Raw genomic sequence first — 25,540 nt, 5'->3', positions numbered from 1 at the left:
TAGGACTCTGGATTACTACTAAACTAGATGACAAACTAACAGTTCTGGGCAGAGGACTGACAATGATTTGATTTGTGTTTTACGAGGATACTTTGCCATGACAACAGACTGTCAGGGACAAAGGTAAAGCAGGGAGACCAATAGGAGGCTACTGCAATAATCTAGGCAAGGGGCGATGATAGCTGAACAGCACGGTGATGGGGAAGGTGGCAAGAAGACATAAGAGTTTGGTTATATTTTGAAATGCAAATAAAAGCTGCTGACGGATTAGATGTGGGAGAGAAGGATATAAGAGGAATCAATAAAAATGTTTTTTGGCGTTGAGTTACTAAAAGAATAGATTTGCTCTGCCTACCATATCTGATCAGTCATCAAGTTCTGTTGATACTTCCAGGTCTCTCTCATACATCCCATCATTTATATGTGCTGGCTCTGCATGGGTGGCAGGCCTTTATTTCTCATGCCTGCAATGCCTTTAACACAGCCTTCTGATGGGTTTCTCTACCCTTTCTCTTCTTCAATCTTTCTCGAATGCCATCCCCAGATTAATCTTCCTTAAACATCACTATATCACACCCTACAGCATTCTACCTCTGTGCCTTTCCTCCTGCCATGCCCTGATTTCCAATGCTAGGAACCACCAACTCAAATTCTTTCAAATCCCAGGTCAGATTCTGTGCCCCCTGAGAATCCTTGACCACATGAACTCCTACTGATTTTTTCTTTTCCCCTAATTCCTGTTGCACTTTAATGACTGCACCATTTCTATGGCATTTACTATTACCAATAATAGTGTTTTAGGAGCCCCACCACTCCCTTCCTCACCCTGGCCCAAGTCTATGGTTTTATCTAAGCAGATTTTACGTAGAAATTCCACTTTATGAGGCTGGGCATGGTGGCTCACGCCTGTAATCCCAGCACTTTGGGAGGCCAAGGCGGACAGATCATGAGGTCAGGAGATCAAGACCATCCTGGCTAACACGGTGAAACCCCGTCTCTACTAAAAAATACAAAAAATTAGCCAGGCGTGGTGGCGGGCACCTGTAGACCCAGGTACTCGGGAGGCTGAGGCAGGAGAATGGCATGAACCTGGAAGGCAAAGCTTGCAGTGAGCTGAGATTGCACCACTGCACTCCAGCCTGGGCAACAGAGCGAGACTCTGTCTCAAAAAAAAAAAAAAGAAATTCCACTTTAAGGCTGGGCGCAGTAGCTCACGCCTGTCATCCCAGCGCTTTGGGATGCCGAGACAGGCGGATCACCTGAGGGCAGGAGTTCAAGACCGGCCTTGCCAACATGGTGAAACCCCATCTCTACCAAAAATACAAAAATTAGCAGGGCATAGTGGTGCACCCCCATAATCCCAGCTACTTGGGAGGCTGCGGCAGGAGAATCGTTCAAACCCGGGAGGCAGAGGTTGCAGTGAGCCGAGATCGTGCCACTGTACTCCAGCCTGGGCAACAGAGTGAGACTCCATCTCAGAAAAAAAAAGAAATTCCACTTTCATCTTTGTGTCCAGCACAATATCGTATAGATAGGAGCTAAAAGAATAAATTAATGTCTTCATGGTCTGAATTATAAAGTGCAAAATACAATGTTATAAGCATTAATAAAGCTACTTATATTTAATGATACAGAAAGATTTCTAATCAACTGATAAAATTAATATTTTTCTAGCTAAAAGTCACATTTTCTGTATGAATGCCAATCTGATTTTTATGGTAATTATAAAAAAATGTGAACAAAGAGAAATATATCTTCTATAGATTCAAATAAATTATCGGTAGAAACATAATATATAATGGATTCAGAGAAAAACCCTTTAAGAAAAAAATTCTAAAGAAGGGAGAAAACCACCATTGATTCTACCACTTAAAAAAAAAAACAAATTAACAATTCTGATATAATTAAAATCTAAATATGTTGCAAGCTAAACTGATTAGGAAAGTCTTTCTTTAAAATTAGCCAATGTTACTTTTCAAAGTAAATTAGGTCATTGAATAAATATACCTTATTCAAATATTGTGCAATGTAACCTCTTCCACAACCAAGATCCAAAGCAAGGGGGAAATTTCTAAAAAAAAAGACACAGAGGTTATGCTCTGTCCATAACACAGTCTATAAATTAAGAATTATTTTTTCTTAGGTAAAATCATTCCAGTAAACACAACTTCCAGAAGGTTACATCATCTGCCTTTTCAGCCTCACCTTACAAGCTGTATATACCAGAGCCTACAGTACAAGGCAAGTCTGTCTGCTAGCTATTCACAGGACCTTGTGATGAGCCAGCTTTCCACCAGGTGGCTCCATGATGTGGACTCGAAGAACAGATTTAATGAGGATATTTTAACTCAATAATACATCCAGATAAAGAATGCAAAGAAGCTAATGTAAATTAACTTGAAAATAACTGACATACTTATCAATAATTATCCCTATTTCTCAGACTTCTTGAAGCAGTGGAATACTTAGAAATCATCATGTGAAATACCATTAAGTATTAATGTTAAACTAAAAAATAAGAACTTAAGTAACAGTTAAACTTTTACTGAAAACGTACCAGGTTCAAAGTACTGTGCTAAGTGTCTGAAGCTAAGTAAGTCAAACCAAGTGCCTCAACTAACAAGGGGCAGTCAACACTTGAATTCGGTCAGTCTGAATCCTGAGCTGGAACTATTATCCTCCATGCCATGCTGTCTCCTCTAAATACACTATGTTATGCTACATTGGTACAGACATCTAATTGTAGGCCATAGGTTTAAAAAAAAAAACCTATAATAAGAAAACTTAAAATTTTATCTACTAAGAACATTCTTCCTGAAAAACTGGAACAAAAAGAGCCCCATTGCAATTTGTTTTTAAAAAGCTTTGTCAAAATTATAGTACATAGCTGGAGAATCCCTGGTGGTAGATAACCTTATTTACCTAATGCCCTATATCTTGATGATGAACACAGGCAATATGGCACAGTTAGGTACAGAGGCTTCGGATGTTAAAAATTCGCATGTTGTTAAGTATCTCCATTTTTGGAGCAATCTTTCTATTACTTGCTTTTGGCCAAATCAAGTGGATTCAGGCTTGGAGATAGATACGAGTTGTGCTTCCACACATTCTTTTCTTTTTTCAGGCAACAATGAAGAAAACATTTGCTCTCCAGACAAGAAAAAGGAGACTTACAGAGTGATTTAAATCACCAGTCTGAGTAAATTCTTCCAGGTTCTGCCATTTCAGATAGCAAGTTCTCAGCATTTAATCTCCTGAATTTCCACTCAAAAGTTGATGGTATTGTATTATGATCACCACCACTTACCTGGGTATGTCATATACACGGTCTGCGATCCGACTTCCAACCTGAAGGATTACACGAGGCGTAGGTTAACGGGGAAGTAACACTCTTTTTCCAGTATTCAACAATCCACAAGTTACTTATGTTTTAAAATAAGTACTTCCCTTTATCCCCTTTTCAATTTCACCACAGGAACTTTCTTCTCAAACCACCAGGAAACAAAATTGAGGCAAATTATTTCAGAAGTCAATTTCATGAAATCCAGACTAAATATTCTTAAAAATATACATATACACACACACACACACACATATATATATGTGGCCTTTACATTCCATGTGACATAAGATCACAAGGATGAAAAGCAAAAGGAACACAACAGGCACATTACTGTCCACGGATATTAGCATGAGGTACACAAAGTGAAAAATTAGTTAGTTGGGGTTTATTGTAGATGAGTATGTAAGTGGTCACTTAAGAAAAACTCTATTATTTGATGACTAACAAATTTTGTGGAACTCATAAATGAACAACTTTTCTGAGTGACATTCGCAAGTTAGAAAAAGCCAAATCTGAGGAAAGTGCACCTCCCCTGCTCCAATCCCATCCCAATTTAAGAGTCATAAGGTAAGCACCACCTTTTGCTGGCCTAGCTTCATCTGGTAGCAATAAAGACGTGGGAGTCTAGTATTCCCCACATTCCACTCATTCCCTCATAAACACCCCAGAGTTGCTCTTAGGACTTAAAAGTTCCAAACACAGATGTACCTGCTTTTTGAGAGAAGGGCAAGGGAGAAGGGAGCGTAGATGTTTTTCCCAGGAGTCCACCTTGTACGTCATTCCTAATATGAACACCCTATGTTTATTATAAAAAGAACTCTCATATACTTTATCTTATTTGTTCTAGTCTCACAAATTGGCGAGGCCTCAATCAAGTTGTAGTCCAGGTGCTTTCTTTGGAGGGAAAGGGCTATGAGCGCACATCTTCTAAGTACACGACATCAGCAGTGTAGTACGTGCACCATGCCTTACAAGTGAGACACAAAAAATTTATTGGTAGTAAACTTCCTATAATAGACATTACCAGCCTAAGACTTCCTGAGAAAGACACCCTGTCAATCATCTGATCAGACCTGTACTTGCACAGAGCTCTGCTCAAGCTATGAGTTCAATAACTGTTTGTTGCATTATACTTGACTCCAACTTTGTTCCACTCCTGAATAAAAATTTACTGAGGCCTGAACTTGAGAATGCGTGTCCTGAAAGTAGAAACCCTCAGTCTCTGGCTCACCTGGGCAGGGAGAAAGGTTTCTCAAACGAGCCAAGACAAATCAGAAATCTTAATTTGATCTTCCTAAAACATAAGTCAGATCACTCCACTGATTAAAACAAGAGCTTCACATTCCCCTAGAGCAGTGCTGACCAAAAATCATGAGAGCCACATATGTAATTTCAAATTTTCTAGTAGCCACATAAGAAAAAAAGTAAAAACGAGAGAAATTTTAATTGAAAAATTTAAATTTATATTTAATATATTTCATGTGACCCAATATATCAAAAATAATCACTGCAACATGTAATCAATATAAAAGCTCTTAATGAGCTATTTTACATCCTTTTTTCATACTAAGTCACTATACTCGTGTGTATTTTACAACACATCTCAATTGGACTAGTCACCTTTCAAGTGTTCAACAGCCACATGTGTGGCCGGCAGTTACCATACTGGCTGGACAGTGCAGATACAGAAGAAAACCCCAAGTCCCTATCCTGCAAGGCCCTGATGATTTGGGTCCTCCTAACCTTCTCTCCCACTCTCTCCCTCTCCGGAGCTTCACTGGAGGCCTCTATAAGGTCCTTTCAGCCTCAAGGACGTTGCCGAAATGAATGCATGAATGAATGAAAGCATGTTACAAATATCCGAGGCCAGGCCTTGCGTGATTACAGTAGAGGCCGAAAGAGGCAGGGCTGCTGGTCAAGGTCAGACGGCTAGGTGGGGTGAGCTCGGGGCCTAGCCGGAACTAGCGGAGAGGAAAACAAGCCTCCGCGTCGCCCGCCCCGCCGCCCCGCCGCCCCGCGGGCTCACCTCCTCCTTCAGGTAGTCAAATTTGGTCGGCTCGGGCTGCCGGGCTGCCCAGTTCTTCTGTTTCCTTTTCAAATCCCGGTCGAAAATATTCAGGGTTCTGGGCGAGGTGCTACCGCGGGGAGAGACACCAGAGGTGACTTCCCTACGGCCAAGATTCTCCGCTGGGACCCTCGCCGCCCAAGGTCGCCGACATAAGCGCCAGAGCCCTGCCGGCCGCAGCATCTCCAGCTGCGACCCCAATTGCCGGCGCTTTTTGTGCGCATGCGCCAGCGCGGCTTTTGTGTCTACTCCAAAGATCTTCTCGAGGGAACGTGCAAGTAGTTTGGCCTAGTTCGCTTGCCATTACGGCGGAGCGTCACGCGGAGGATTGTGGGTGTGAGCCCCACGTGAGGCTTGGTAGGACTGCGGACGGTGAGTGGGGATGGACTGGAGTTGAAGAGCTCGAGATGAAGGGCTTGAGGGCGTGTGTGTGTGTGGCGCGGGGAAAAAACTAGTCTCTAACAGGATCTCTTTCGGATCTGCGAGGGGTTTTGCCCCTTCCTCCTGAGCCTTTTTCGGTCTCATTCTTCAGTCTTCATCGATCCTTTTCAGGGTCGCTTCTCGAATCAGTCTGTTAGCTGCCCCCCTGCGGTACAGGAGGTGGAAAGGAGACCCTAGTTCAGGGGCCAGCCCTGTGTTCTCCGAATTAGAGAGCGGGCAGAAGGGGAGGGTGGGCTACGGGGATGCGGGCGCGTGTCGGGAGTGAGGTCCGGTCGCCTTCCCCTCTCTCGGATTATCTGACATATAATGAGTGCTTTCCTTCTAAACATTTACAATACATGCAGTACTTCTCCTGGTTGAGGTGGTACCTACCTCGTAAGATTGCTCAGAGAGTTAAGTGCTGTAATACATCGAAAAATGTGTAAATGCACCAGCGATAGCTTCCTTTTTTTTCCTAGTTAGTGTAATTAAAAGGACTTGATTTTTAAATAAGAAATATTGCCCTTTTAATCATTTTGGGGGGGGGTTGCTTAATAATCAACGACTTTTGGCTCTTTGCAAAATTCCCATCCAGAGATGCTAAACCATTGGAGACTTTTCACAAGGGAACAATATTAATTTATACACACATATGTATATGTTCTAGTATGTTTTGGGGGAATGAGCTCACTTGGGCCTTCATCACTGGTAGAATCAGATATTATAGAAAGAAGTGATATTTATTAACTGGTGTGAGACTTTACCTGGAGACTCAAATTTACTTTTTATTTTTAAACTTTTTATTACTTTTGAAGGATGATCGAATTTAAAAAGGAAACTTTCTTAGCTAAACCTGAGTTGATTTTGGTCTGTTTAGTTAGAATGCTAGTCTTACAGAACTAAAGGCTGTTTGTTGGCAGTAGCCGGAGATAAGGAGTAAGCAGAATGAGACCAGAATGTGAAGAAACAAATGAGGCCAACGGAGGCTAGGGAATCTTTCTTTCTTACTTTTTTTTGGTAGACAGGGTCTCACTCTGTTGCCCCAGCTGGTGTGCTGTAGTGCCGTTAGGCTCACTCTAGCCAAGACCTCCCGGGTGGAAGTGATCCTCTTGCCTTAGCCTCCAAAGTAGCTGGGACTACAGGCGCGCGCCACCATGCCGGGCTCATTTTTGTATTTCTTGTGGGGATTCACCATGTTACCCAGGCTGGTCCTGAACTCCTGGGCTCAAGTGATCCGCCCGCCTTGGCCTCCGAAAGTGCTGGTGAGCCACCGCACTCGGCCTAGGGAATCTTAACTACATTTGCCTTCAATTAGTAACACATACTGGTATACAAATAGAAATTCTAAGTGAGAGCAATGGATGAATAAACATTTGTTCCCCTCCATAAAGCCCTGGGATTCTGCTTTGTCTACCTTAAGTTTATTTCTCTAAATGATCTGTCATGGAAAGAGGATATTTTGGTATGTTTCTGCTTTTTTGCATGTGACCCAGAATACGTTGGAGAGATGAAATTAGACTTGTTACCTCTATTTTATGTACACTTAACTTAGAATATATTAACTTAGAATATATTGTGAATGTGTTTTAAAACATTTAATTATTGTACTAACCATTATTACCATTAAAACATTTGTTTTATTTTTCAGTATTTGTTTTCTTCAAGCATTTGGTCGAGATTAAGAATTAAAAATGTCATCCAAACAAGAAATAATGAGTGACCAGCGGTTTAGACGGGTTGCAAAGGACCCGAGATTTTGGGAAATGCCAGAAAAGGATCGAAAAGTCAAAATTGACAAGAGATTTCGAGCCATGTTTCATGACAAGAAGTTCAAGTTGAACTATGCCGTGGATAAAAGAGGGCGCCCCATTAGCCATAGCACTACAGAGGATTTGAAGCGTTTTTACGACCTTTCAGATTCTGATTCCAATCTCTCTGGTGAAGATAGCAAAGCATTGAGTCAAAAGAAAATAAAGAAGAAAAAAACCCAGACTAAAAAAGAAATCGATTCAAAAAATCTAGTTGAGAAAAAGAAAGAAACCAAGAAGGCTAATCACAAGGGTTCTGAAAATAAAACTGATTTAGATAATTCTATAGGAATTAAAAAAATGAAAACCTCATGTAAATTTAAGATAGATTCAAACATAAGTCCGAAGAAGGATAGCAAAGAATTTACACAAAAAAATAAGAAAGAGAAAAAAAACATTGTTCAACATACTACAGACTCTTCTCTCGAAGAAAAACAAAGGACATTAGACTCAGGCACCTCTGAAATTGTGAAATCTCCCAGAATCGAGTGTTCTAAGACAAGAAGAGAAATGCAATCAGGTAGGTTGGAAAAAATTAGAGATTCTTGGGTGTTACATTATTTATTTTTATACTGATCTTTCAAAAATGTAAACACATTAATAAGTATTTTCATAGTATTATGGAATGGTCAAATGCTTATCTGGAAATACAAAGCTATAAAAGAAATATGCAGTGATTATTAATTTTTGATGTGGTGCTAGAAGACAGACATGAAAATTTGAATCTTGAAGTTAAACAGTGATTTTGATTAGTGGTGAGCCCTAATGAGAACTATATTCTCTAACCAGATAAAGTGTTATATGTCATCACATGATAAGAAGAGATGTGTCTAAAGAGGGTAAGTAGGCCGGACATGGTGGCTCACGCCTGTAATCCCAGCACTTTGGCAGGCCAAGGCGGGCAGATCACTTGAGGTCAGGAGTTCAAGACCAGCCTGGCCAACATGGTGAAACCCCATCTCTACTAAAAATAAAAAAAAATAGCCAGGCATGGTGGCGCACACCTGTAGTCCCAGCTATTCGGGAGGCTGAGGCAGGAGAATTGCTTGAACCTGGGAGGTGGAGGTTGCAATAAGCTGAGATTGCACCACTGCACTCCAGACTGGCTGACAGAGCGAGACTCTGTCTCAAAAGTAAAATAAAATAAATAGGGTAAGTAGGACTCCGTCTCAAAAATAAAATAAGAGGGTAAGTAGAGTTGAGTACTCATTCATTAATTTGTTCAGTTGCTTTGCCACTAGTATGTGGCAGGCAGAATATGAGTAAGGCGTCGTCACCCATCTCAGGGCTGTCGCTAGCTTATATGATGCCTTTATGCAAATTAGAAAAAGGCATGCTCTCTGGACACACAGAGCTCCCAGGGGTCACACTTTGGTGAAGAGATGGCGCCTTTGAAGCAACAGATTTTTTGCCCCTGAGCAGACACAGCCCCCTCCAGAGTGCATGGCTTGGTGAGTGTAGGATGGCCTTGATTTTAGCCCTTCTTGTCCTTTTATAAATGCCCCTGTGCGGATAACAGCCTGCTAAACTTTGTGCAGTGGCCCCTGTCTAAAGCAACATTGTCTAGTAGAAATACATAATTTTGGATTTTCTAGTAACCACATTAAAAAGTAAGATGAAACAGGTAAAATTATTTTAAATAATATATTTTATGTAACCCAATATATCAAAATTATTTCAATATGTAATCAATATAAAAGTCAATGTATATTTTACATCCCATTTTCTACTCATTTCATACTAATACTATTTTCATATTAATGTCAAGTTAGACAAAACGCATTTCAAGTGCTCCGTTACCACATGTGACTACTGGCTACCATATTGGACAATATAGATCTAAAGTAGAAGAAAGTCAGAACCATAATACAAAATGCAATAATAGTAAGTGCCGTAAAAGATGTTTAGCAGAAAGCCATGGAAATCTGGAGGAAGAAGTCACTCAAGATGTGGTAATCAGAAAAATTCATAGGGGACGCACTACTTTGGGGTGTGGAAAAATTTAAGTTTGAGGACCAGAGTGTGCTACATGGAAAGAACTTTTTGAGCAAAGATGTGATTGGGCATGTTCAGAAGAGGTCAGTAGTCCCGTTTGATTAGATAATAAGGTCTTGAAGGGCCAAAATGAGTAGCAGCGAGAAATGATTGTTTGGAACTAGGTGAGAGACAGCTGGCTCTAGTTTGCATTACGTGTTTACTAATTAAAATTTTTTGTCACCTCCAGCAGCAAGCAATTTTGAGTGTTGATGTTGCTGATAGTTGAAGATGTAACTGAAAACCAGTAGTAGTTCACATGAGCCAGACCTGTGATTACAGGATCCAAGGAGGGGTCTTGATAGGCCGAGAGGTCTTGATAGGCCAAGAGGTCTTGATAGCCCAAGAGTTCTTGATAGGCCAAGAGGTTTTGATAGGCCAAGAGGTCTTGATAAGCAGAGATCACACTGTGAGGGTAGAAGGTATCAGGCAGTGGAGTGAATTCTGGATAGCAAGGACTAGGGAGTCAGTGGTGGTATCCCATTTTACATTTGTAGTGGAACCAGGCAGCAGACCTCTTGAGGTGTGGGAAGAAAGGATAGGAATCCGGTTACTAAAATTGAAGAATAAGATTGGAGTGGGACCGGCAGCAAAGTTGATTTGACACTGAATTAGTGAGGTAAGTTAGTCTAGCATCCACTTCATTTGGGGCACTGAATTAATATAACATAGCTATATAATCCTTTAGATTGATTTTACAGACTTTTTTACATATCTTTTCTCATTTAATTTTCTTAGTTACCTTGAGCAATAAGACTGTATCAGCGAACAAGATTAAAGTGACTTATGTAAGGACATGCAGACCTGGAACTGCAACTCAAGTCTTCTGACTCCTTCTACCCCACCACATTGCTTGCAGTAATTTTGTTGGTTCCACAGTCTAGGAAAGGCATTACTCATAAATAAGGATTACACGGCTCCATATATAATCTTCTGTTCATTATCCATTCATCAGTTATTACAGCAATTACTGTGTGCAAGGGCCTTTTTAAGTGCTGTGAAGTAAAGGTGATGTGAGGACTTGCAGTGTGATATTTGTCATCATGAAATGTTCATGCCCAGCACTTGCACTCCTCAGAATCTATTTTACATAAATAATTGGATGTGTGCAAAGAATGTGCATTGCAGCATTATTTTTAAAATAAAACGGTAACTGGCTGGGCACAGTGGCTCACCTTTATAATCCCAGCACTTTGGGAGACCGAGGCGGGTGGATTGCTTGAGGTCAGGAGTTTGAGACCAGCCTAGCCAACATGGCAAAACCCGGTCTCTACTAAAAATACAAAAATTAGCTGGGCATAGTGGTGCACACCTGTAATCCCAGCTACTTGGGAGGCTGAGGCACGAGAATCACTTGAACCCAGGAGGTAGAGGTTGCAGTGAGCCAAGATCGTGCCACTGCACTCCAGCCTGGGCAACAGAGCAAGACCTTGTCTCAAAAAATGAAAATAGAAATTAAAATGGTAACAAATCATTAAGAGATTAATTAAATATATGCAAACATCTGTGATCTATGAAGTTTTAAAAATAGGTTCCAAAATAACGATATGACCAGTTATTTTAAACAAATTAGTATTTAAATTAAAGAAAAGAAATTTAGGGATATGGTTGTATACTAAAATAACCAGTTATCTTTGAATGAAAAATTACTGCTAGTCACCTTTGTTTTATTTATTAACCATATTTTCCTAACTTTTTTTGGTTTGTAATGATCATTCATTATGTTTATAATTGGGGGAAAATGGTAAAGCAGTTTTTTTGGTTTTTTTTTGTTTTTTGTTTGAAGTAGCTGGATAAGTAGTAATGTTTACAGTCACTACTAGAGCAATACTGTCTAGGAATAGAGACATTTATATTTGTGTAACCCCACATTATCTTGCACAAGGCTGTGTACATTGTGGGCTCTAAGCAGATACTTTTTGGGGTTTTTTATTTTTATTTTTGGAGACAGGGTCTCGCTCTGCTGCCCAGGCTGGAGTGCAGTGGTGCAATCACAGCTCACTGCAGCCGCAACTTCCTGGGCCCAGGTGATTCTCCCACCTCAGCCTTCCGAGTCACTGGGACCACAGGTGCACCCCACCATGCCTAGCTAATTTTTGTATTTTTGTAGAGACAAAGAGTTTTGCCATGTTGCCCAGGCTTGTCTCAAACTCCTGGGCTCAAGATCCTCCCATCTTGGCCTCCTAATATGATGGGATTACAGGCGTGAGCAGCTGTGCTCGGCTGCAGATACTTATTGAATGAATAAATACTCTGAATGCAGTTGATATTGTTAAAAACATTGAAATGGAAGACCTCTTTAAGTCTCTTATGCAACACTTTATTATTATATAACCCAAAGTGTGGTATGTGTACCATTGTCATAAGTGAGAAGATTTTTGATGATACTCAAACTTCTAAAATATTAATAGTTATGTACTGTGTCAACATCTTAGAAAACAATGTAATTACCCTATCACTTCTGTGACTTTAGGAATATTGTTTAGAGCAAAACTAACTTTTAAAAAATTCAATTTAATAAAAAAATGATATTCAAAAATCATGAAAATGGTATAATGACTGACAGTTGAGAAATATTGCAATACTAGATAGACTGGGTCTGTAAGATGTTATTTCTAAGCTTGTTGCTTAAAAGTAAATTCTGCTTACCTCATAGTAACTTTCAATGTTGTGTTTTTCAGATCTCATATATAGAACCTGTGACAATGCTTTCATTTTGGCGCTTTTCACTTCTATTGGCTAGTTATTTTTATTAATCCCTGCTTCGTTGTGGTGGTAACATAAAAGCCCATTTCCTGCTTTTCCTTCTAACAAGATGCCTTTTCATTCAGTTAGTCTCAAGTCAAGTTGTATCTTTGTGAAGCCTTTTTATAAATACCTCTCTGCAGGCAAATTTAGATGTCTCTCACTGTATGGTGATTGAGAACATAGATTTATAAATCAGTAAATGGTTACCTTTTATTTATGAATCCATCAAGAGCATGAGATCGTGTTACAAATCTTCTCTCTTTTCCCTTATCCTAGCTCAATTCTTTGTATGTAGTAGATACTCAGTAAATATTTGGTCAGTGAATAACTATTATAAGATTATAGGACCAAGAGAAAATTAGTTCCAATTTCATTCTAAATCTTGAACTTTTAAATTTGCTTTTAATTTTCCAAACTTAGAGCCTGTAAGCAGAAAATAAGCTCCAACTTAAAGATGAGTAAAACACGTAAGATATATCTACACACCAAGTAGATAGAAGCCTGTGATTGCTTTAGAAGTAGGAAATGAGCCCTTTCAGAGTTGTGAGGACTAAAATTTCCATCTTAAGCAAAAACAGTCTTTCAATCTTGGTGTATTGCTAATCATGACAGTTGATTACAAAGTTCAAGACCTGGCAGAAAAAGTATAAATATTATTTCTCTGTCTTTATAGGTGATCTCATCCACATCACAGCTTCTGTTGTCAACTGCGTATGAATGAGTCACTGATCTCCAACCCAGACTTCTCTGAGCTGTACACTCTTATTATTGATACTTTCTTTTAGATGACTGAGTGGCACTTCGTATTCAACATATTCAAAACTGAACTCATGATTTCCCTCCACCAAACAAACTAGTTCATTTCCAGTGTTCCCTTTTCATCTTTCCATCTTCTTAGCTAACTAGCTCTGAAAGCTAAGAAGCTATGACTCATCTTTGACACTTCCAAAACTCCCAGTCCCCGTGTCAAATCTCCAGTCGGTAATTATTGGTTTCACTTCCTGACTGACTCTGAAATCCATGTACATCTCTGCATACATACTGCCACCCAACTTAGTGCTACCTTCATTTCTTGCTTTTTGTACTGTACTACCTTTACTATATTCACATCTGTTCTTTACTTTCCCAAGTCAGTTTTCTACAGTATAGTCAAGGTGATCTCCTCAATATGCAAGTCTGAGGATGACAATATCCAAAAGAAGATGACATCCTCTTTTTTGAAAACAGCAGTGTCTTCCCATTGCTTTTATGAAAAAGTCCAAGCTCTCTATATGGTTTTTTGATAGCTTGGCCTCTACTTAACTCTTCATTTCCATTTGTTACTTGATTCTGTGCTATCTGTGATCTGGACATGATGGTTGGCTTTTTCCTATTGGCAGATTTTTACAGGTACCTTCCTTGCTCTTTCAAACAAATTTCCATCTATTAGTCTAACTTTGACTATTTAACTCCTGTTCATCCTTCAAGTAACAGCTCAGTTATCACTCACTTAGGGACCCCATTAAATCCCCTTAGAAAACATTCTTTCTGGGATATCTTAGTTGTGATTTTAACTTTTCCTATATATTGATTTTATTTGATATCCATGTATTCTTTTCACTCAGCTAGAAGTTTCACTGAGAGCACTGTTTGCTTCTCTTTTACCAACTGTTGTATATTGAGCACTTAGCACGTAGCAGGCACACTGTTAAGTATTGAATGAATGTCTGGATCTACTTGCGTGATGTGAGCATGTGTTAGGATTTCCATTAAATAACTTGGTTAAGTGTATTTTCCTTTACTCTGTTTCATAGAAGTTATGGTTAGGATTTCTATCATAAAAATTGACTAAGCATTTACTGAATATATATTTGTCTTTACTGTGTTTCATAGAAATTATATTTTTACTGGAGTTGATGTCAAGATAATTTGGATTCAGTTTAATTCAGCATATATCTTTTCTTAATTTCTTTCCCCTTTAACATTTTGCAGTGGTTCAACTCATAATGACAAGAGACAGTGATGGTTATGAAAACTCAACAGATGGTGAAATGTGTGACAAAGATGCTCTGGAGGAAGATTCAGAAAGCGTTAGTGAAATAGGAAGTGATGAGGAATCTGAAAATGAAATTACAAGTGTTGGTAGAGCTTCAGGTGATGACGATGGAAGTGAAGATGATGAAGAGGAGGATGAAGATGAAGAGGAGGATGAAGATGAGGATAGTGAGGATGATGATAAAAGTGACAGTGGCCCTGATCTTGCAAGGGGTAAAGGAAATATAGAAACTAGTTCTGAAGATGAAGATGATACGGCAGATTTGTTTCCAGAAGAATCTGGTTTTGAGCATGCTTGGAGAGAATTAGATAAAGATGCTCCTCGTGCTGATGAGGTAACCTTTTGAATAAACAAGATTATTTGTGAAAAACACAGTACAAGCAGCTTTTATGGCTGGTAGAACTGATGTCATTAAGTGGGAAAAGCTTATTGGTAATAGTATTCTTTATGATTCTGATTAAAATTTGATATGGAATATAATTATATGAACTAGAAGACGTCCAAGCAGATAAGAAGAGGCTCTACATAAATAATTAAAAGTTGCATGAAATTTTTAATACTTGTTTTAGCTAGTAGTTTGTATTTCTGTTTGTACGGCACCCAAAAGAAATGTTGCAGGGTAACATACTCAACTTCCTTACTCATGCATGCATGGCAAAATAGCTGAACAAACTTGGTGGTTAAAAAATCAGCTCATGATCATGTTCTGATTTAAGAATTAAGAACCAAGTAAGAGAAAGTACTTACCTGTTATGGTTTTACTATTGTTTGGCTCATTTGAAGTTCTCTTTTATATACTGAATTACGCTTAGATAACTCCTGTACTATTAATTTCAGAGCATAGGGGACAGAAGGCATTACATTTTTAGAATCTTTATTTTTCAAGTATTGAGAATGATATGGATTATGTACTATTTAATTCTTCTCATTTCTCAGATTACACGTCGATTAGCAGTTTGTAACATGGACTGGGATAGATTAAAGGCAAAAGATTTGCTGGCTCTGTTCAATTCATTTAAACCCAAAGGAGGTGTAATATTTTCCGTCAAGGTGAGAATTGATTTCATTTTGAAATAAATATTTCTAGGCATTTTAAGTTAAATCTGATTTTTTTTTTTTTTTTTGGCCATAGTTTTCCTTTTTAGGAAAATACTGTGGAAGTTGTCCAATCCAATTGAGTGTGAAACTTATGTAACAGGTATAAATGTTAGAAAGGAAGAGGTGAAATTATTATTATTGATAGGTTATATGATTGTTTACACATTAAAAATCCAAAGAAATAAAAGCTCAGTAAAGGGACAGCATATAAGAAGTGTTTTTAACAATAAATTGCATTCCTTATTGCTAACACTGGCCAATTAAGGAAAAAATCTAATTATACTAGAAACAAAACCACATAAAGTTCTTGGAAATTACCTTAATAAACACAAATGACCTATGTGAAGTAAACTGTAACACTTGATAAATTTGAAAAACTTACATAAATTTTGAGGATACCATATTTCAAGCCAACCTAATAATTAAGAATCCAGGCTTTGCATTATTGCAGACCTGGGTTCAAATCTTGATTCTCGTAAGTGTTATGTGATCCTGGACACTTAATTAATCTCTCAAGTATGTTTACATCTTTCCAATATATCCAAATGGATATAACAATAGTATTGGTGATTGTAAGGATTAAGTATAAAGGAGCTTGAACTAAGTATTTAGTGCAGTGCCTGAAATAGCCCTGCCCTCAATCATTATTAGAGATTGAGTCTCCCTTATCCAAAATGCTTGGGATCAGAAGTGTTTAGAATTTCAGATTTTGAAATAAAATTGCATTATATATACTTACTGGATGAGCATCGCAATTCCAAAATCTGAAATGCGCCAATGAGCGTTTCCTTTGAACCTCACGTTGACAGTCAAAAAGTTTGGAATTTTGGATTTGGGATTTGGGATGCTCAACCTGTATTATTCTGTTTAAATATTTAAAGATGTTATGTCTACTGTTCTAGGGTAATTTTGATCAAAATCCCAGTTCAAGTCAAAGTTAAGAAAAAGGATACCAATAATCATCTAAAAGAATAAACAAATTAAGAGTAGCTAATAAACTATTTTTTTTTTTTTGAGATGGAGTCTCGCTCTGTCGCCCAGGCTGGAGTGCAGTGGCGCAATCTCGGCTCACTGCAAGCTCCGCCTCCCGGGTTCACGCCATTCTCCTGCCTCAGCCTCCTGAGTAGCTGGGACTACAGGCGCCCACCACCACGCCCGGCTAATTTTTTGTATTTTTAGTAGAGACGGGTTTTCACTGTGTTAGCCAGGATGGTCTCGATCTCCTGACCTCATGATCCGCCCGCCTCGGCCTCCCAAAGTGCTGGGATTACAGGTGTGAGCCACCGCGCCTGGCCTAGACTAGCTAATAAACTTTTGAGAAATCATGCTAATATAAAAACTCACCCTGTCGCTTCTCGGCCTTTTGGCTAAGATCAAGTGTAAAAACTCACCCTACAAGTTACAATATCTAAACATTTCATGATGCTATGGGGGTTGACAGGTTTGGGTAAAAATGGGACAAATTGGTAGAACAGAATAGATAGAAAGAGTTCATATGATAACTTAGATCAAAATAGGCTGCTTGAATATTTGGACAAATGAACAGGTCATTGGATAGAGAACTTGGTTCAGATCTTCACCTCCTAATAGCTCCAGCGAAATTCTAGATGAAGCAAAGGAAAAAAAAATTAAAAGTCAAGCCAAAGAAACAATTTAAAAACCCTGTGTTTTAGGCAATAGTGAGAATTTCTAGACTTAGAAAAGAGGAAAAAAAAGAATCAAAAGATGTGACTACATATATATTATAAACTTACATATTAAACCTATTGTGTATATACTATTCAAGTTAGTAAGAAAAACTTGGATCATCTTGTTGATAAATTGCATATTTCAGACAGTTTAAAAAAGCATGTGTTCATTAACAAATGTATATTAAGCCTAGTAGTATCAAAACAATGTCATTAATACAATTATTTCTTGACTCTTAAAGTAGGCAAGATTTTAGAAGATACCACACCTGGTGAGAGTGAATTCTTTTTCTTATATCGAGACTATACCTAATCTGTATAAGGTTGTCGTCAGTTCTGTTCTATTTCTTTAAAAGAAAGCACTGGATAAATGGTATGACAGAGATAAGTTGGTTATTACAAAATTGATCTTCATTATATGTTTATTTTTCTGTATTTCATGTAAACTAATTCAGTCATTTTTCATGTGTGTGTTTTTATTCACATTTCCTTGAGCTTAGCATCTTGTTTTGCTTTTAATTTTTCGTTTGGATCTCGGAACCATCTTGTCCCAGGTGGTATGTGGAGGAGATACTCTTATTTTTGTTTCCAAGCCTCGTATCTTGTTAGTCTCTAGCCAAAGTGATCTATTTTTAAATAAAATTTCTCAAGATGCTCTAGCTTCCTATAGTGGATTTGGAAGTGAGTCACCCTTACTGTTTTCATTGAGTCAAGTTGTGACTTTTAGAGTTCCTGACTTCGACAGGTCTAGATATTTGTGTAAAGGAATGTACAAATTACATTGATCCTATTTTTTTCTGTTTAGATATATCCTTCAGAATTTGGAAAGGAGAGGATGAAGGAAGAGCAAGTTCAAGGACCAGTAGAGCTATTAAGTATTCCTGAAGATGCCCCAGAAAAAGACTGGTATTAAATCACTATAGAACATAAAACTAAACCTCATAAATTCATGTCATTAGTTCAGAATTCTGGTCACCTTAATAGTTAAAACTAAAGTTTATACTTGTGCCATTCGTGGTTAAAACAGGTTGCAAAACAGATTTAAAGTCTGTTAAAAGTGGTACATTATTCCAAGAAGATTTTTGTTCGTGTATATTTCTATTTCTGTATTCATGAAAGTAATTATTGCAGTTTTTGAAAAACATTTCATGATTAAACTGATTTGGAGTTCTTTTGAATTCTTTCAGCCTCGTTGCTCTGAATTAGTACGTTTTGCTTTTTTTTTTGAGACATCATTGAAGCTCTGTTTGCCTTCAAATTATATAATTTTTTCTTATTTGAGAATCAAATAGAAAAGTGAAAGAATGATAAAACTTTTTTTTTTATCATCATGGTGCAATATAGAAAATAATTTAAGATAGTTTTTAAGCCACTAGGTGGAGCTATATTTGCACTTAATAAAAATGAGGGTTAAATAGATTAGTGACAGGAGAGAGCAGATGAAGACCTTCAAAGAAAGAGTTGTATCAGTGCTTTGTGTGGAACCTTAAAAAAAAAAAAAAAAAAAAGAATGTGTTGTAGTTAAGCAAAATCAAACTTATAGACTCTTAAGCAAACATTTTGCAAGATCAGGAATGTCTTTTAGCTAATGGTTTTCTAGCATATTTTATAATAGAATTATCTTTATTGGTTTTACTTGAGAAGGCAGTGTGTAATAGCAAAGTAACTATTCTGTGAGTTAAATTATAGATAAACACACGAATTCCCACACACTCCTTTCCTAGATACCAAATTCCAATCCAAATATCTGTACCTTGTGAGAATAATAAGTTGAGCTTAAGTATTTAATGTTTATAAAGGCAAAGTCATGAAGGAAAGATGGTTTGGTATGAAGGCCAGCTTGTAATATGTTTTTCTTGAAAGAATTACATTTATTTTTTAAAGGGAAATTTTTGTGTTTCTGTATAAGTATGCTTAATAAGTTTTTCCCACTTTAGGACGTCTAGAGAAAAATTGAGAGATTATCAATTCAAACGACTGAAGTACTATTATGCAGTAGTAGACTGTGATTCTCCGGAAACAGCTAGTAAAATTTATGAGGATTGTGATGGCCTGGAATTTGAAAGTAGTTGTTCTTTCATAGATCTAAGGTAATCCAGTGTATGTATTACCAATTTAATCTTTTAGTACAACATGATTATAAGAAGTAAAATATTTGAACTGGTAGTGATCTCTGTTTTATATTCTAAAATGATTTTTTTGCTTTTCGGTTAACTCTATCCCATGGAACATCACTCCTAAGAAAGAAAACAAACAAGACAGTGCTAAAGTATTATGTATGAATCATCCCCACATCTTTGTCCTTTCAGACATATTGGCTCTGTTTTTAAGATGGTGTACCTTACACAATAATATTTCCTTGCAACTGCTTTTAGAGCTAGGAACCAGATGAAGTTAACTTTTAAAAATGCATGGAGGAAGGGGCAGAGGAATTTGAAAACAGATTGTTATCTCTAGATCCATGCTATCCAGTATAGTAGCCACTAGTCATATTTGGTTATTTTAGTTAAAATTTATAAGTCAGTTGCGTAGTCATATTTCAAATAATTGTTCCATTTTGGACAGAGCAGATATAGAACATTGCCCTTGTCACAGAAAGTTCTGTTGGACAACACTGCTCTAAATGTAAATGGCTAAATGTACAATTAGGAAATTGTAAGACTCAACCTTAAGCTTTCCCTTGTTTTCAGTGACACCTCATGTATATGATACTTTGTATTCACAATGCTTACCCATTAATAATTATATTTGATCTTCAAAATACAATATAGCCAGCTGGGCATAGTAGCTCACGCCTATAATCCCAGCACTTTGGGAGGCCTAGGCAGGAAGATCGCTTGAACCCAGGAGTTCAAGACCAGCCTGGGCAACATAGTGAGACCCTGTCTCTACAAAAAATTTTAAAAGTAAAAATTAGCCAGGCATGTTGGCGCACACCTGTAGAGGATCGCTTGAGCCCAGGCCGTTGAGACTTCAGTGAGCCATGATTATGCCATGGACCTCCAACCTGGGTGATGGAGCAAGACCCTCTCTGTAAAAACAACAACAAAATCATGTAGTCAATGACTGCACTATCAGAAGTCTGGATCTTTTTGAAACGTGAGGGACCCACATGTGCTTGCACCTGACTCATTAACTGACTCCTAATGCACGATTTCTATCTATACAGCATTCTTTTAAATTTAGTGGAATTACAGAGTTATAGCTTATGAATTTCAGAAATTTATACAAAGATGAATTCATTCAGAAATATACAAAGGTTATGTCTAACATTGTCTCTTAAACGTGTGTCTTTTAGAAAGTTTGTGTATGTATAAACTACAACTAATTAGATGAGAATCTAAACTGTGGTTATCACTGCAGCGTATTTTAAATAAATTTTTTTTCTTTACTTCTTAGGTTTATACCAGATGATATTACTTTTGATGATGAGCCTAAGGATGTAGCCTCAGAAGTGAATTTAACAGCATATAAACCAAAATATTTCACTTCTGCTGCAATGGGAACATCAACGGTATTTCTTTACTTTAAAAAATATGTAGCTGGACTCTATTGCTTTATGAAGAGATTTTGTATATTACTTATAGCATCTTTAAAAATGGAAAGTATTAATTTTTTTGTTATTATTTTTTCTTGAGACAGAGTCTCGCTCTCTCACCCAGGCTGGAGTGCAGTGGTATGATCTCAGTTCACTGTAACCTCTGCCTCACAGGTTGAAGCGATTCTCGTGCCTCAGCTGCCCAAGTAGCTGGGATTACAGGTGTGTACCACTACACCTGGCTAATTTTTGTATTTTTACTAGGGACAGTGTTTCGCTATGTTGACCAGGCTGGTCTTGAACTCCTGACCTCAAGTGAGGCCGCCTTGGCTTCCCAAAGTGCTGGGATTACAGGTTTCGTGAGCCACTGCTCCCAGCCTCAAAGTATTCAAAATTTTTAATGCATGGGTACAGAGAGAAATGAGACACAAGCGTGTCTGCCTCTACCATATCTGTGAACCTGTTTTCAGATTCTTGTTACGCATTTAAGCCTGTGTCAGTTATCTGCTGATGTTTCTTTTTTCTCTTCTGTCTTTCCTGTACACTCTTCTGTCTCTCCTATACACTCTTCTGTCTTTCCTATACACTCTAATAAATCAGTTATTAATATCCTAAGGAATAAGGGGAAGTGGATAATAAATTACCTCCCCGCACAGTTAAATGAAACTAGGGAAAATTTAAAATAAGAGTATCTCCTATACACTCTAATACATCAGTTATTAATATCCTAGGGAATAAGGGGAAGTGGATAATGAATTACCTCCCAGCACAGTTAAACAAAACTAGTGAAAATTTAAAATAGGAGTACCTTTTTCTGCAGATGATTCAAAACTGTAAAAAGAATTGATATGGAATAATTAAGGTATAATAGATGTCACATTAATGCTTAGTAACAAATAGCCAAAAGGTTTTTGTCTATTGAAATAGTTTATTACTTAGGTGACTACCTTCTCCCTTTTCCTTTCTTTCTTTTTTTTTTTTTTTTGAGACTAGAGTCTTGCTCTGTCGCCCAGGCTGGAGTGCAGTGGCGCGATCTCTGCTCACTGCAACCTCTGCCTTCTGGGTTCAAGTGATTCTTCTGCCACAGCCTCCCCGGTAGCTGGGATTACAGGTGTGTGCCACCACACCCAGCTAATTTTTGTATTTTTAGTAGAGACTGGGTTTCACCATGTTGGCCAGGCTGGTCTTGAACTCCTGAGCTCAGATGATCCGCCCCCCTCTGCCTCCCAAAGTGCTGGTATTATAGGTGTGAGCCACTGCGCCTGGCCCCTTCTCCCTTTTCTTTTTTTTTGCTTTTTTTGGAGACTGAGTCTCACTCTGTCGCCTAGGCTGGAGTACGGTGGTGCAATCCTGGCTCACTGCAACCTCTGCCTCCCAGGTTCAAGTGATTCTCCTGCCTCAGCCTCCTGAGTAGCTGGGATTACAGGGGCACGCCACCATGCCCAGCTAATTTTGTATATTTAGTACAGACGGGGTTTCACCATGTTAGTCAGGCCGATCTCGAACTCCCAACCTCTGGTGATCCACCCGCCTTGGCCTCCCTTCTCCTTTTTCTTTCTCCCAATAACCTTTCTGTCCACAGCTGTACTCTGCAGTAGCCACACTAGCTTCCCTCTGCTTTTCCTGTGTGATAAATCACCGTGCTTCTCTGAGGAGGGACTGGTAGCAGAGAGAGTAGCTGTATCTGCCACCTGCTATGCCGTGGTGGGCACTGTATGGCATTGATTAGTTACTGGGTGTAGTAAAACTCTACCATTACATAGTAAGCAAAGTCTAAAAAATTCAGTCACATGAAATTAAAGTCATGTTATTTTCAGAACCAACATAATGATCAGGGCCAGCCTGTCCAGCCAGCCAGTCTAAAGTTCCTGGGTCCTGGCTGTATCATCAACATCTGTCCTAGTTCCAACAGTGTTTTGGTGGTTATCAGCTCAGGCTTAATTGTCAGAATAGGGATCATTTCTGAATCCTCTGACTAGCTGGAATTTCTGAGACAGGTGGCAGTGATTTTAAGGATCTCTTAAAATGGATGTGGATCTACCCTATGATGAAGATAAAATATCTGGCAGGGCCTTATATGAGAATAGGGGCTATGTACAGGGCAGGAGCCAGTCATCACCACATCAGTCATGTCATAGATGAATTCATGTATCATGGAGGTTTAAACTACTTCCAACTAATAGATGCTTTTCTCATCAGTGGTTCTTAATCTTTTTTTAAAATGGACCCCACTGAGATTGTCTTGTTTTAGCAACAGATTTCATATAGTTTGCAGATTTCCTGAAATCTTAGAACTCCAGGTGAAAAAACATGTTTTCACTGATTCATAATGTTAACTTTTTTTTTTTTTTTTGAGATAGAGTTTTGCTCTTGTTGCCCAGGCTGGAGTGCAATGGCATGATCTCAGCAACCTCTGCCTCCTGAGTAGCTGGGATTACAGGCCTCCTGATTCTGCTGCCTCAGCCTCCCAAGTAGCTGGGGTTACAGGCACCTGCTACCACGCCCAGCTAATTTTTCATGTAGAGATGGGGTTTTACCATGTTGGCCAGGCTGGTCTTGAACTCCTGACCTCAGGTGATCCACCCGCCTTGGCCTCCCAAAGTGTTGGGATTACAAGTGTGAGCCACCATGCCTGGCCCATAATGTTAACTCTTTTACCAGTACATTTTCTTAGTTTTTTTGCACCGTAATTAATTTAGACACTGGTTAATTTTTACTGTCAGTGATGGAGTATCCTGTAGATAGCAGAGAATTGGGAGGAGGTACAAGTTAATAGAAATGGTTCCATTTTCACAAATAGGATACTATTTATTAATCATATCATTCATGTATTTGTTTTAATGTGTCTTAACTTTTAACTTACTGTTAAACATCCAGGTTAATAGTATATATTCTTTAACAAGTTTGAGCTGACATTTCCATTTTCGTGTGTTATTTTTTCTTATTTGTTGGTGAAAGGTGGAAATCACTTGGGATGAGACTGATCATGAAAGAATTACAATGCTCAACAGGAAGTTTAAAAAGGAAGAGCTTTTGGACATGGATTTTCAAGCCTACTTAGCTTCCTCTAGTGAAGATGAAGAGGAGATAGAAGAGGAGCTACAAGGTATTGTTAATCTTTCAGTGACCATTAATGGACATAGGTCTTTGGCAGTAGCTTTACAGGGAAAGCCAAATTCTGTCTGCAGATATGCTCACATGCACAGTATTATATATACCTGTAGATAGTGATTGATTTTTTTAAAAAAAAATTTTCTTTGCCTGAATTTCTTTAACTATAAATATTTTGTTTAAAACCCTGACCTAACCAAGCATGGCCTTCTAGACTTGTCCTAATGCATATGGTCACTCAGTTTCTTAGTAAACCAGTAAAACAATCTTTTAGGCATCTCCCCTCATTTGCCTTTTTAAAAAATAAGAGCATCATTTAGATTGATTAAATATTTTTACGTTCCATTTTTTCAACTAGTTAAAAAGTAGACTCCCTGTTTCTGTAATTATTCCTTTGACTGCTTTTAGAGTTTTCTGTTTCTTTTTGTCTTTCTGCAGTTTTACTATGGTAAGTATAAGAGTAGATTTCTTTTTGTTTGTGGAGCTTGAGGTTTGTTGTTGGGTTCCATTTATTTGTGGAGTGGTATCTTTCATCAGTTTTGGAATATTCTTAGCCATTATGTTTTCAGATGTTTTTTCTTTATCCTTTTAGGACATCAGCTAAATACATGTTAGATCTCGTCATTATATCTTGCCTATCTCTACTCTTAAATTTTTAATCTGTTGTCTCTGTACTGCATTCTGGATATTTTCTTCTGACCTATCTTCCAGATCACTAATTGTCTTTTCAGCAGTGTTAAATCTGCTGATAGACCTCTCCATTCAGTCTTAATCTTGGTTATTATATTTTTTACTTATGGAGGTTGTATTTGGCTATTTCTCAAGTCAGAAATACCACTTTTTATATTTTTTACTCATAGTCTCTGTTTTAATATTTCATGTATTTTCAGGTTGGTGTCTTATTTTACAAGGTATTTCTCTCTTGTTTATTTGTGTGCCTAGTTAATTTTGTGTGTTACTTTGACATTTGAAGTTAGGGTATCTTTGATCAGAGAAGACTTTAATTTACTTTGGTTGGTTTAGAACCACATTTCTCCAAATGTTAAGGCTTAGGTTCCCTGGCTTCTGCAGATGATTAAAGTCTGCATGAGGGCTGGTTTACTTCAGATTGACCATTTCCCTGGGAGTATATCCCTCTGGGTGGCTGCTTAATGTCAGGGTACTAATTGAAATTCCCTCTTTTTTTTGGTCTTTAACTTTTGTCTTCTTGGTCCTGAAAGCCTGCTAAAACCACAATTGACTTTCATAGCTCTTTGTTCTGTGGATCAGGAAACAGGAAATGATCTCAGAGCAAAACAGGTCTTTACCCTGGAGTCATCCCTCTAATATTCCCTTCTTGGTTTTGAAATAGTAAGTCTTCTCTAACTTGACAGTTCTTTGAAACTTTTCTTTCTTTTCTTAACCTCTTTGAAGCTTTATAAAATAATATTTAATCCAACTTAATTCCAACTTAATATCTTCAGTGAAAGGGTTAGTCTGAAGTACCTAGCTTGCTGTTAAGAAGTTCCTCAAATTATCTTTATCTTTATTCAAGTTGTTTTTGTTTTTTGAGATGGAGTACTGCTCTGTCACCCAGGCTGGAGTGTAGTGGTACAATCTGGGCTCACTGTAACCTCTTCCTCCTGGGTTCAAACGATTCTCATGGCTCAGCC

At 38.1% G+C, this 25,540-nt stretch overlaps 2 protein-coding genes across 24 annotated transcripts in view, besides 3 other annotated features; one reads left to right on the top strand and one right to left on the bottom strand.

The window, feature by feature from the left end:
• NDUFAF5 (NADH:ubiquinone oxidoreductase complex assembly factor 5) overlaps window positions 1–5,632 on the bottom strand; it is a 36,553-nt gene extending 30,921 nt beyond the window's left edge. For 13 of the 21 annotated variants that reach the window (NR_147979.2, NR_147978.2, NR_029377.2 and 10 more), the window contains exons 1-3: window positions 5,370–5,632; window positions 3,308–3,348; window positions 2,008–2,071 (exon numbers count right to left, since the gene is read on the bottom strand). Coding sequence is in view for 6 of the 21 variants with exons in the window: in NM_001039375.3 (NP_001034464.1) it covers window positions 2,008–2,071; window positions 3,308–3,348; window positions 5,370–5,591 (327 nt within the window). In the remaining 15 variants the exon portion in view is untranslated. Of the gene's footprint in view, window positions 1–2,007; window positions 2,072–3,307; window positions 4,311–5,369 lie in introns of those variants that run through there. The other 8 variants (NR_147983.2, NR_147982.2, NR_147981.2 and 5 more) reach the window with 4 other exon arrangements.
• Window positions 2,171–2,310: a silencer, noted in NCBI's record as "silent region_12680". NCBI's record gives its function as "represses an Ori minimal core promoter by ATAC-STARR-seq in GM12878 lymphoblastoid cells {active_cell/tissue: GM12878}" and the evidence as "EXISTENCE:reporter gene assay evidence [ECO:0000049][PMID:35858748]".
• Window positions 4,722–5,411: an enhancer, noted in NCBI's record as "NANOG-H3K27ac hESC enhancer chr20:13765895-13766584 (GRCh37/hg19 assembly coordinates)". NCBI's record gives its function as "activates a minimal SCP1, AML or CMV promoter by ChIP-STARR-seq in naive H9 embryonic stem cells {active_cell/tissue: H9 hESC(naive)}" and the evidence as "EXISTENCE:reporter gene assay evidence [ECO:0000049][PMID:30033119]".
• Window positions 5,407–5,696: an enhancer, noted in NCBI's record as "active region_17552". NCBI's record gives its function as "activates an Ori minimal core promoter by ATAC-STARR-seq in GM12878 lymphoblastoid cells {active_cell/tissue: GM12878}" and the evidence as "EXISTENCE:reporter gene assay evidence [ECO:0000049][PMID:35858748]".
• The window catches only part of ESF1 (ESF1 nucleolar pre-rRNA processing protein), a 70,595-nt gene continuing 50,795 nt past the window's right edge, over window positions 5,741–25,540 (top strand). The window contains exons 1-8 of one of the 3 annotated variants that reach the window (NM_001276380.2): window positions 5,741–5,780; window positions 7,477–8,156; window positions 14,390–14,787; window positions 15,390–15,503; window positions 18,045–18,145; window positions 19,177–19,329; window positions 20,639–20,753; window positions 23,736–23,883. In NM_001276380.2, the coding sequence (NP_001263309.1) occupies window positions 7,520–8,156; window positions 14,390–14,787; window positions 15,390–15,503; window positions 18,045–18,145; window positions 19,177–19,329; window positions 20,639–20,753; window positions 23,736–23,883 (1,666 nt within the window). In that variant the 5' untranslated portion in view covers window positions 5,741–5,780; window positions 7,477–7,519. Of the gene's footprint in view, window positions 7,291–7,476; window positions 8,157–14,389; window positions 14,788–15,389; window positions 15,504–18,044; window positions 18,146–19,176; window positions 19,330–20,638; window positions 20,754–23,735; window positions 23,884–25,540 lie in introns of all 3 variants that reach the window. The other 2 variants (NM_016649.4, XM_017027874.3) reach the window with 2 other exon arrangements.

This window comes from Homo sapiens, chromosome 20, assembly GCF_000001405.40.
Source record: "Homo sapiens chromosome 20, GRCh38.p14 Primary Assembly".
NCBI lineage: Eukaryota > Metazoa > Chordata > Mammalia > Primates > Hominidae > Homo > Homo sapiens.
The sequence above is the reverse complement of the archived record's forward strand: the minus strand, read 5'-3'. Positions and strand labels throughout refer to the sequence as shown.